This window comes from Homo sapiens, chromosome 6 (assembly GCF_000001405.40).
Source record: "Homo sapiens chromosome 6, GRCh38.p14 Primary Assembly".
NCBI classification, from domain to species: Eukaryota; Metazoa; Chordata; class Mammalia; order Primates; family Hominidae; genus Homo; species Homo sapiens.
This window is the reverse complement of record NC_000006.12, coordinates 43,458,886-43,471,807: the sequence shown is the minus strand read 5'-3', so window position 1 is coordinate 43,471,807 and position 12,922 is coordinate 43,458,886. Positions and strand designations below refer to the sequence as shown.

General features: G+C 47.2%; 1 annotated feature.

The window, feature by feature from the left end:
• Nucleotides 9,311–9,511: a silencer, noted in NCBI's record as "peak5814 fragment used in MPRA reporter construct". NCBI's record gives its function as "represses an SCP1 promoter by STARR-seq MPRAs in K562 erythroleukemia cells {active_cell/tissue: K562}" and the evidence as "EXISTENCE:reporter gene assay evidence [ECO:0000049][PMID:32103011]".

Here is a 12,922-nt window from a genome sequence, read left to right as displayed (position 1 = left end):
TAAAGCAGGAACTCCCTGAGAGCAGAGCTTGTTTCCCTCACCTCAGACTTTGGGCACCCTGAGGCTAGAGTCTGTGCCTTCCCTCTCAGACTGTGAATCGAATCCTGGGAAAGCTCAGAAAGTGCAGAAGTGGTTTACCTCTCTTTTCTGGACTGCACTGGGACCTGTTTGTCCAGCTCTGCTTCACTCTGACCCAGTAGGAGCTGGGCAGTTCTCCAGTCCCTCATCTCTTTGCTGAATCAGGAAGTCCTCCCTCCATCCCAGGTCAACACCTGAAAGTTGGCCTTGAAAGTGTAACTGGGCAGCTTAACTTCAAAATGCATTTTCAAACCTTTCTTTTCCTTTCTCTCAGGTCTCAAGATGTAACCTTGAAGCTTACTGTGTAAACTCTTTTTTCTCCCTTCTCCTTATTCTTAAAATATAGCCTTGAAATGTACTTTCTTTCAGGCCGGGCGCAGTGGCTCATGCCTGTAATCCTAGCGCTTTGGGAGGCCAAGGTGGGTGGATTGCCTGAGTTCAGGAGTTCAAGACCAGCCTGGGCAACACGGTGAAACCCCGTCTCTACTAAAATACAAAAATTAGCTGGGCGTAGCAGTGTGCACCTGTAATCCCAGCTATCTGGGAGGCTGAGACAGGAGAATCTCTTGAACCTGGGAGGCGGAGGTTGCAGTGAGCCGAGATGGCGCCATTGCACCCCAGCCTGGGTGACAGAGCGAGACTCTGTCTCAAAAACAAAAAAGAAAGGAAGGAAGGAAGGAAGGAAGGAAGGAAGGAAGGAAGAGAAAGAAAGAAAGAAAGAAAGAAAGAAAGAAAGAAAGAAAGAAAGAAAGAAAGAAAGAAAGAAAGAAAAGAAAGAAAGAAACTTTCTTTCTTTTTTCTTTTTTTTGTTCTGAAACAGAGTCTTGCCATGTCTCCCAGGCTGGAGTACAGCGGCACGAACTCGGCTCATCACAACCTCCACCTCCCGGGTTCAAGTGACTGTCCTGCCTCAGCCTCCCAAGTAGCTGGGATTACAGGCACATGCCACCAAGCCCAGCTAATTTTTGTATTTTTAGTAGAGATGGGGTTTCACCATGTTGGCCAGGCTGGTCTCAAACTCCTGACCTCAGGTGATCCACCCGCCTTGGCCTCCCAAAGTGCTGGGATTATAGGCGTGAGCCACCACGCCCGGCAACCTTGTTCTTTTTAACTGGACTCTGTAAGTGGTGACTCACTCTGTCGCCCGGTCTGGAATGCAGTGGCGCGATCTTGGCTCACTGCAACCTCTGCCTCCCGGGTTCAAGCGATTCAGCCTCCTGAGTAGCTGGGACTACAGGTGTGCACCACCACACACGGCTGATTTTTGTATTTTTAGTAGAGGTGGGGTTTCACCATGTTGGCCAGGCTGGTCTCAAACTCCTGACCTCAAATGATCTGCCTGCTTCGGTCTCCCAAAGTGCTGGAGTTACAGGCGTTAGCCATGACACCTGGCCCAAAAATTTCAAGTAAATCTCCAGAGATGACTCCTTTAGCAGCTACTGGAAGGGCTGGACCATGACCCATCTGTGATATTGGTGCTTCCCCCACCACCCCATCAGCCCTGGGTAGTTCCAGAGTGGAAGGGGCTCCACAAGTACATGAATGAGTGGTACCGCGGTGCTTCACATGCATGGTTCTAGCTATGAGTGACCCTCTCGTCTTTCCAGGTCTGTGTACATGCATCTGCACACCCTTGTGGTTTCAATGGGTGTGTTCCTTTGCTTGACTTTTTTTTTTTTTTTTTTTTGAGACAGAGTTTCACTCTTGTTGCCCAGGCTGGAGTGCAATGGCATGATCTCGGCTCACTGCAACCTCCGTCTCCCGGGTTCACGCAATTCTCCTGCCTGAGCCTCCCTAGTAGCTGGGATTACAGGCATCCACTACCACATCTGGCTAATTTTTTAGTAGAGACAAGGTTTCACCATGTTGGCCAGGCTGGTCTCAAACTCCTGACCTCAGGTGATCCACCTGTCTTGGCGTCCCAAAGTGCTGGGATTACAGGTGTGAGCCACCGCACCCCGCCTGCTTGACATTTTGGATAGGAGCTGCATGACTGCACACTCATCCTATCAGAGGGCAAAGCCTCCTATCACTTTTCAACTCACCCTAAAGCCCACCGTCGGTATCCTCCCTGGCCCAGCTCCCTCTTTCCCTGAGCAGGTATTTTCAGCTATCCTAAGCAAGGTATGCAGGGCCTGCGCTTTGGCACAACAGCCCTGGAGGCACACGATAAGTGTGCCAACACAGACATGCACACAGTCAAACAGCCAAAAGATAGGGAACAATGGCTGGGTTTGGATTTCAGCCCTGGGGCTGCTGGCTCCACCTCCCGTGGTGAGGTAGGGGTAGGATGGGGGAAGGAAACAATCAGAGGGAAAGAACATTGTTTCAGGACCCAAAGGCCCCTGCGCTGGCAGAAGGCCTCACAAAGGGTGGGCTACTTGGATGTGCCTGACTCCTTCCCAGCACAGACTCTGTCTCCATCCTGGGGCCCCCACTTCTTAGGCTGACCAGCACTGTCTTGGAGAGGCAGTGACAGGCCAGAACAAGCAGGGGCAGGATTATCCCTTACCTGGTGAGGACAAGGGCCAGCTCTGCGTGCCCCTGGGTCTCCGTGAAGTCTAGGGCCCACAGGTGCCTCTGCACCCCCTGTTTATTGGGGGCATGTGGGGTGAGTGAATATGTCTGCCCTGCTAGGCGGTAAGTTGCTCGAGGTCAGGGCCTAGCACGTTTTTTCATTTGTATTAATTCAGTCACTCATTCAACTCACATTTATTGAATGTTTGGCACTGAGTTGGGGTCCCCTCCCTGCTCCTGCCCACAATCTGTGGGTGGGTCAATGGAGGTGTGAATGAAGAGTGACAGCCCTTGTTCCCTGTTCTCTGGTCTCTGCATTCTCATTTGGTAATACGCAAAACTCTGTGTGAAAAGGAGGCTAAGGAGAGAAGAGGAAAACTTGAGAATCCACTCTCCAGGTGAAGGGTAGGGAGGCCAAGAGCGATAAATTCTTATAAGTGGAGGCCCTGGAGGAGGGGTTTATTGATAAGTCCTCAGAAAAATGCTCAGGAAAGTAGGGAATCCTGAGGGTTGGGTACTGAGGTGTTCTGGAGCAGTATAGTTACCGTTCAAGTCTGGAGTGAAAGCCAGAAATCAGCCTCATGTGTCTAGTGACCACCCAAAAAAGAAAGCCACTATTAAGACAGGCTTAGGAGGATCCTAAAGTCATGAGGCTGCCAGCCCAACCTGTTCCAAAATCCTCCAAGGAACAGCCACTAGGTTGTACGCAGGGAAGCAGAAATTAGAGCCAAGAAGTGAAGAGCATCAGCCAGGGGCCCTCACCAGCTGTATCAGTCACTTTTCTCGAGGGTAGGACAGCGATAAGAGTAGGGTCCCTGGAGCAGACTGCCTGGCTTCATCGCCCAGCTGTCACCTAACTAACTGCATGAACACAAGCAGATGACTGGAGCTGTCTGTGCCTCTGTCTTCCCATCTGTAAATGAGGGTTAAGCAGAGCACCTACCTCACAGAGTTGTCTTGAGGGTCAAAAGAGTTCATGTACATGAGTGCTTAGACCAGTGCCTGGTACATAGAATGTCCGTCTATTTTACCAGTGAGGGTTTGGAGTCTCAGAGAGGTTAGCTGTCTCCTGAAGGCCACCCAGCTGCAGACAATAGAGCCAGAATTTGAAGTGACTTCTAGTACTCTTGCCTTGACATCACACAGCCTGAAGAATCATAGGAGTGATCCCAGGCTGCTGACTTGAGGAGTGAGGTGATAACAATGGCATGGTAGGATGTTTAGCCTCTAGGCACACTGCAGATTGGATGCATGAGGGAAACCGGTAGGCCTGACGGCCGTGAGACCAAGTAGGAAACGCTTGTCATGAGCCTGGCATGGTGAGGAGGGTGCTGACAAGGGCTGAGGTGATCAGACAGAATGGACACAGGGCCATGGGAGAAGGAGGACTGGACAACATTTGGTGGCCAGCTGGAAAAAAATAGAGGAGTTAGAGGAGGCTTTAAGGTTTTAAGCTCTAGTTACCCAAAGAATAGTGGGATTTCTGCCAAAAACAAGTATTGGGTGGGGGATTGTATTAGTCCATTTTCACGCTGCTGACAAAGACATACCTGAGACTGGGCAATTATAAAGGAAAGAGGTTTAATGGACTCACAGTTCCACGTGGCTGGGGAGGCCTCACAATCATGGCAGAAGGCAAGGAGGAGCAAATCACATCCTACATGGCGGCAGGGAAGAGGGAGAATAAGGACCAAGTGAAAGGGGTTTCCCCTTATAAAACCATCAGACCTCGTGAGACTTATTCACTACCATGAGAATGGTATGGGAGAAACCACCCCCATGATTCAATTATCTCCCACCAGGTCCCTCCCACAACACGTGGGAATTATGGGAGCTACAATTCAAGATGGAATTTGGGTGGGGATGCAGCCAAACCATATCAGGGATGTTCTTGGAAATCCAAGCAGTGAGACAAGCCCTCTTTACTGGGTGATTTTTAAATGGGCGAAGGGGGCGTGCTAGAAAAATTTCACAGAAACAGAAACCTGGACTAAAGGATGCCTTTTATGTAAAGGGGCTAATAGTGGCTAGATTCCTGAAGACACTAGGACAGAAACAATTGCTCAAAGGCAAGCCCCAGCATAGCCCAGCTCAGCCTCCCGTCATTGCTTCTGTTGCCAACCCCCTCTCCTGCTCCAGGGTAGGAAACTGACTTTACCAGGGATCCCCCAATGCCTCCACAACCACTCACCTCAGCCCCCACTCTCTAACCTCCTGTACACATACCTGACTTTTATACACACTCTCTCATTCTACCCTCACAGGGACCCTGTTAGAGAGCAGGGCTGGTGCTATTCTCCCCATTTCACAAGTGGGGAAACTGAGGCCTGAGAAGTTTATGAGACTTTCTCAGGATCACACAACCAATGCCAATCAGTGACCAGATTCCAAATCCTGTGCACTTCACTTCATTACACCACATCTGCACTTCCAGAGATCTCAAGCAGATTGGAGCCAGAGGCACGCACCTGCCTTTCCTCAGCAGATCCATAGACATCCCTTGATGTCTGAGGGCATTCATTTTCTCTCTGGGAATAATGGAATGATAGCATAATGGAATGGAATGGAGGCAGTGAAAATGGGCAGAGAGGGATGTGGCAACATTATGGATAAGCACCAAACATCAGGGCTGAAAACATCCTTAGAGACCATTGAGTGAACTCCCTCTGTTTTCAAGGGAAACTTAGGCCCAGAAAGAAGGGACTTGCCCCCACAGGATACTGCAAAGTTTATCCCACTCCCTTTATTCTAGTTATCTATCACTGCATAGAACAAATCACCTCAAAGCCTAGTGGCTTGAGACATTTTATTATCTGTCCAATTTCTGTGGGTCAGGGACTCAGTCAGGACTCAGCTGGGTGGTTCTGACTTTGTGTCTCATATAGCTGCAGTCAGTCGGTGGCTGGAGGTAAACCAGCAGGGGCTGGAGCAGCCCAGGTCTGTCTGGGCATCTCTGTTCATTCACATACTCTCCAGCCCTCTCCTTGTGGTAGCCTCCCCAATGGGGCTAGTTTGGGCTTCCCCACAACTTGATGACCTCAGGGCAATCAGACTGATTACTCATGTCTCCAAGACAAGTGTCCCAAGAGAATAAGGAGAAAGCTGTATCATCTTTTGTCATCTAACCTCAAAAGTCACATAATATCACTTCTACCATAGTCACAAGGCTGCCTAAAGGGAGCCTAAAGGGAGGAGTGTCAAAGTCACACATTATAAGGGAAACGTGTGAGATGGGAGGTCTTATGGTAGCCATCTTTGGAAAATACAATTTGCCACACCCTTGCATAATCACCTAGATCAATAGCATGGCCCAGGGGAAAGATGGGCCTGGGTCTGAACCCCAGCTTCATCATTCACTAGCTCTATGACTGGGGAAGTCACCTAACTCCTGGTATCTTCTCCTACCTCATATATAAAACTAGAATAATAAGGCTGGGCCCAGTGGCTCACACCTGTAATCCCAGCACTTTGGGAGGCCAAGGCGGGCAGATCACCTGAGGTCAGGAGTTCCAGCCCAGCCTGGCCAACATGGCGAAAACCTGTCTCTACTAAAAATACAAAAATTAGTCAGGCCTGCTGGCGCATACCTGTAATCCCAGCTACTCCAGAGGCTGAGGCAGGGGAATCGTTTAAATCCGGGAGGTAGAGGTTGCAGTGAGCTGAGATCATGCCACTGCACTCCAGCCTGGACAACAGAGTGAGACTCAGTCTCAAACAAACAAACAAAGAAAAACACTAGAATAATAATAATGCCTGTCTGGCAGAGTTATGGTGAAAATTAAATACAAGGGCATGGCTCTTTATTAATTAAAGTAGTATAAGGGATGGTGTGTTCACTGCTATTTATTTCTTTATTTTTGACAGAGTCTTCCTCTGTTGCCCAGGCTGGAGTGCAATGGCAGCATGATCCGGGCTAACTGCAACCTCTGCCTCCGGGTTCAAGCAATTCTTCTGCCTCAGCCTCCCGAGTAGCTGGGATAACAGGTGCGCGACACCACGCCTAGCTATTTTTTTGTATTTTTAGTAGTGACGGAATTTCGCCATGTTAGCCAGGCTGGTCTCGAACTCCTGACCTCAGGTAATCCACCCACCTCGGTCTCCCAAAGTGCTGGGATTACAGGCATGAGCCACCGTGCCCAGCCCACTGCTTTTTATTTAAAAAAGAAAAAATTGGGCCGGGCGCAGTGGCTCACGCCTGTAATCCCAGCACTTTGGGAGGCCAAGGAGGGTGGATCACGACGTCAGGAGTTCGAGACCAGCCTGGCCAACATGGTGAAACCCCCGTCTCTACTAAAAATACAAAAATTAGCTGGGCGTGGAGGCGCGTGCCTGTAATCCCTGTTACTCGGGAGGCTGAGGCAGGAGAATCGCTTGAACCCGGGAGGCGGAGGTTGCAGTGAGCCAAGATCACGCCATTGCAATCCAGCCTGGGCGACAGGGCAAGACTCTATCTCAAAAAAAAAAAAAAAAAAAAGAAAAAAAGAAAGTAGTGTAAGGGAATATCCTGGGGCAGAGGTGGGGTTATTATTTAATATATAGGATGATCAGTGAGGGCTTGTTTACTAACATGAGATTTGAGCAGAGAGCTGAATGAACTCAGGGAGTGAGCTATGAAAATATCTGGGTTATAGCATTCCAGGCAGAGAACAGCTAGTGCAAAGATCCTGAGGCAGGGAACATGCTTATATGTTCAAGGATCAACTCAGGGCCGGGCACGGTGGCTCACTCCTGTAATCCCAGCACTTTGGGAGGCTGATAACAGGCGGATCACGAGGTCAGGAAATCGAGACCATCCTGGCTAACATAGTGAAAGCCCGTCTCTACTAAAAATACAAAAAAAAAAAAAAAATTAGCCAGGCGTGGTGGCGGGTGCCTGTAGTCCCAGCTACTCAGAAGGCTAAGGCAGGAGAATGGCATGAAGTCGGGAGGCGGAGCTTGCAGTGAGCCGAGATCGCACCACTGCTCTCCAGCCTGGGTGACAGAACAAGACTCCATTTCAAAAAAAAAAAAAAAAAGGATCAACTCAGAGGCCAGTTTGGATGGGACAGAGTGAGGTAGGAGTGTGCAGGGAATAAGATCAGATGGGAAAAAAAAAAAGATCAGATGGGAGCCACTGGAGGGTTTGGAACAAAGATATGAAAAAATCTAACTTCCATTTTTTAAATAAAATTTTAATTTTTGAATAATTTTAGATTTATAGAAAAGTTCCAAAGATTGTATAGAGATTTCCCAAATATGACTCACCCAATTTCCCTTAGTGTTAACATTATACCTTATCATGGTACATTTGTCAAAACTAAGAAGCCAACGTTAGTACCCTGGTATAAGCTAAATTCTAGACTTTATTCAGACTTTGCCAGTTTTACCACTATTGATGTTTTTCTGTTTCAGAATCCAGTTTGGGATAATACATCACACTTAGCTGGCTTCCATTTTCTTTCCATCAGGATCACCCTGGCTGCTGCATAATAGAAGACCAATTAAGAAGCAATTGCGGCCCAACACTTTGGGAGGCTGAGGTGGGTGGATCACCTGAGGTCAGGAGTTCGAGACCACCCTGACCAACATGGAGAAACTCCATCTCTACTAAAAATCCAAAATTAACCAGGCATGGTGGCGCATGCCTGTAATCCCAGCTACTCGGGAGGCTAAGGCAGGAGAATTCCTTGAACCCGGGAGGCAGAGGTTGCAGTGAGACCAGATGGCACCATTGCACTCCAGCCTGGGCAACAAGAGCAAAACTCCGTCTCAAAAACAACAGCAACAAAAACAAAACCAAAGAGGCCATTGCAGTAGTCCAGGCAAAAGATAATGGGGGCTTGAACTAGGGTGTTAGAGGTCACATTGTGAAAAGTGGTCAGATTCTGGATGAATTTGAAGGCAGAGGCAATGGAATTTGCAGGATGTGGATTATAGGAGAAAGAGGAGAATCAAGCATGACCCCAAGATTGGGGGCTAAACAACTAGACAGATGGACTAGCCATGGACTGGAATGGGTACAGCTGACAAAGGAAAACTATTTGGGCTGGAGATCAGGAGTTTGCAGCAGTCAGACACACAAGTCTGGTACTACCAAATTTATTTTTAAATTAATTAATTAATTTATTTATTTTCATAAGGACAGGGTCTTGTTATGTTGCTCAGGCCTGAGCAACAAAACTGAAGTCTCAAACTTCTGGGCTCAAGCGATCCTCCCACCTCAGCCTCCCAAAGTGCTGGGCTTACCAGGCATGAGCCACCATGCCCAGCCAGACACACGAGTCTGGATTTCAGGGATAAAGCTTGACTGGAAACATAAATTTGGGAGTCGTTAAGTTATAGCCATTCCAAGCAGTTAGGCTGGATGAGATCATGAAAGGAGGGAGTGAAGATAGAAAAGACAAGAGGTCTGAGGATGGAGCCCTGGGGCTGAGGAACATGTTGGGAAGATGAGGAGGATGCAAAAGAGACCGAGAAGGGGTGGCCATTGCAGTAGGTGAAGAAGCTAGTGAGTGATCCCAGAAACCCAGTAAACTGTGGCAAATGCAGTTAACAGAGCCAGTGAGGTGAGGACTGAGAATTAATCATTGGATTTGGCAGTGGTGAGGGCATTGGTGAACTTTACAAGAGTGATTCTGGAATGGTGGGGTGAGAGTGGGTTCAAGAGAGAATAAGAGGAGAGGAGGTGAAGAGAGCAAGGATAGACTAATATTTTTGAAGAGTTTTCAGTAAAGAAGAGCAGACAAATGTAGGGGGTTGAGGGAGGTGATTTACTTATTTATTTAAGATCTGAGAGAGGTTGATGACAATGCTCTCGTAGAGGCAAGCAAACTGATGATGCAGAAGAGAAGGAGAGAAATCAGAGAGACCTGATGAGAGAGGATGTGAACTAGTGCCCAGGTGAAGGAGTTCACTTAGGTAAGAGCACAGGCAGTTCACGTACAGTAACAAGAGGGATGTCAGAATATATGGAGACAGATGCAGGTAGATGGAGGGGGCGTGTGGAAATTCTTTCAGATTGCTTCTATTTTCTCCATGAAGTTGAGAGCAAGACCATCAACAGAGTGAGCAGAGAGGAGGAGGGGGTGGAGGTTGGAGGAGAGAGGAGAATAAAATAATTGTTGGGGTGGGTGGAGGAGTGTACAGAGCTAAGGAAATCCGAGAGTATTGGTGATCAACACAAACAGCATTTGAAGGTCATGAATTTAAGTGAGACCAGCTAGTTGGGAGGTATGTTTCTTCAGCTGTTTGGGTGAAGGCTGAAGAAGTCACAGCGGCTGGGCGCAGTGGCTCATGCCTGTAATCCTAGCACTATAGGAGGCTGAGGCAGGTGGATCACAAGGTCAGGAGACTGAGACCATCCTGGCCAACACAGTGAAACCCCGTCTCTACTAAAAATACAAAAAAAAATTAGCCGGGTGTGGTGGTAGGTGCCTGTAATCCCAGCTACTCAGGAGGCTGAGGCAAGAGGATTGCTTGAATCCGGGATGTGGAGGTTTCAGTGAGCCGAGATCGCACCACTGCACTCCAGCCTGGGCGACAGAGCAAGACTGCGTATCAGAAAAAAAAAAAAGAAGTCACAGCAGTGGAGTTTTGCCACATGAATATGATGGAGGGAGAGGGGGCCAGGGAGTTAAGCATGTATGCAAGTGACTAATTATAATGATGAGGCATGGAATCAAAGCTGAGGAAGCGGAAGGGTGGATGTGATGGGGATAGGGGATGGTGAAAAGGAGATAGAATCAACAAATAAAAGACAAGGCCGGGCCCAGGCGCGGTGGCTCACGCCTGAAATCCCAGCACTTTGGGAGGCTGAGGCGGGTGGATCACCTGAGGTCAGGAGTTCGAGACCAGCCTGGCCAACATGGTAAAACCCCATCCCTACTAAAAATACAAAAAATTAGCTGGACGTGGTGTCACGTGTCTATAATCCCAACTACTCAGGAGGCTGAGGCTGAGGCAGTAGAATCACTTGAACCCGGGAGATGGAGGTTGCAGTGAGCTGAGATCGTGCCATTGCACTCTGGCCTGGGGGACAGAGTGAGGCTCTGTCTCAAAAAAAAAAAAAAAAAGAAAAAGAAAAAGAAAGACAAGGCTGACAGGCTGACTTATTCACAGTAGGCACAGTGCCTAAGTTCTATAATACTTTTAAGGGCCCACAAAATGTTTTCGTTTTGAATTTATTTTAAAATCAGAAGAAAAAATGAATACAATAAAAATAAGTATATAATAATGAATTCAGGCCAGGCACAGTGGCTCACGCCTGTAATCCCAGCACTTTGGGAAGCCAAGGCAGGCAGATCACCTGAGGTCGGGAGTTCGAGACCAGCCTCACCAAAATGGAGAAAACCTGTCTCTACTAAAAATACAAAATTAGCTGGGTATGGTGGCACTTGCCTGCAATCCCAGCTACTTGGGAGGCTGAGGCAGGAGAATCGCTTGAACCTGGGAGGTGGAGGTTGCGGTGAGCCAAGATCGTGCCGTTGCACTCCAGCCTGGGCAACAACAGCAAAACTCCATCTCAAAAAAAAAAAAAAATGAATTCAGCCTGGATTATAGTAGTCCTTATACTGATGTAGTTATGTAATATAATTTTTAATATTCTTTTATGGAGGAAGGGACCCACTAAGGTGAAATGGCTAAGGCCCATGAAAGCCATGATGTGGCTTTTATGAGAGATCGCAGTGGGTTAGCAGAATTGTTTGAGCCAAGGTGCTAGAGGTCATGGTCTGGAAAGATAGGAGTTGGTAATAGGAAAGTGTGATACTTAAAATAGAGATGATGGAGTGTGTGAAGCTATTGGTAGCAACAAGGTTTAGGGTGGGATCATCTTTCTCACTGGAGAGGAAGAAATCAAGGAAATGAGAAGCTGGTTTTATCAGATATCTATTGCTATATTAACAAACCATTCCAAAATTTAGTGGCTTAAAACAACCACCATTTATCTGCTTATAGCTTGGCAATATGGGCTGGGCTCTGCTGAGCAGTTCTTCTGTTTGTCTTGCCTAGGTTCACTCATGTGGCTGCAGTCATCTGGAAGCTTAACTGGGGCCAGGTAATCCAATATGACTGCACGTCTAGTGGTTGTTGGCCAGGGTACCTCAGCTCTCCTCCACGGGGCGTTTCATCTTCCAGTAGGCTAGATGGACTTCTTGACATGATGTTGGAAGCATTCTAAGAGGCAAAGCGGCAAGCTGCAAGTCTCTTGAGACCTAGACCCTAGGAACTCACACAACATCATTTCTACCCCATTCTATCAGCTAAAGCAAGTCATAAGGCCAGCCCAGATTCAAGCAAGAGGTTGAGAAATATACTCCACCTCTTGCTGGGAAAAGCAGCAAAATAATTGCAAAGCGTCTTGTAGAACAGGAGGAAGAAAAGTGGCCATCTTTGCAATCTATCACACTTGTTGGAAGAACTGTCTATGTCATATTGAATCATCAAGAATCACCAATAATTTGACAGAAGTGAGAGTGAAGAGACTGACAAGCCAGGTGCTAAAATCTTCAAAGCACAAGGGGGCACTAAGTGATACCTCTAATGGCATCAACTACCTTTATTATTTCATGAGTGAATCTCAGTACATTTTATCAGTTAAAAAGAATTTATTTTTCATGACTTCTTTGACTCAGTCACTCATCAATTCAGACTTGATCATAAGGAAGGAGCCTAAAACATGGGGAAAAAACCTACCTTCATAAAAATGTGTGGCACTAATAAATATTATCTGGGAGCTGTATCCTCAGTGGCTCTGGTATCTAATGGTAATATATGACTACTCAATATTTGTTGAATGAATTTATAATGACAAAAAAAGTAAACAACCTAAGCAGCCAATAACTAGGGCTAAGTAAAGTAAATATAGTATATCTATTTAATGGAATATCACATAGCCATAAAAAATGCTTTTGAGAACTATCAATATATGACATGGAGTAAAAAAAAGCAGGATACAATACTGTAGGTACATTATGATTATACCTCTGTAAAAATATCTGAATGGAAAAAAGGAATCAAAACAACAATAATTGTGGTTTTCTCAAGCTAGTAGGATTGTGGGTGGTTTTTTTCCTTTCCTTTTCTTTGAGATGGAGTCTTGCTCTTGTTGCCCAGGCTAGAGTGCAGTGGCATGATCTAGGCTCACCGCAACCTCTGCCTCCCAGGTGCAAGCGATTCTCCTGCCTCAGCCTCTCAAGTAGCTGGGATTAAAGGCAGGTGCCACCACGCCCGGCTAATTTTGTATTTTTAGTAGAGACAGGTTTTCTCCATGGTGGTGAGGCTGGTCTCGAACTCCTGACCTCAGGTGATCTGCCTGCCTTGGCCTCCCAAAGTGCTGGATTTACAGGCG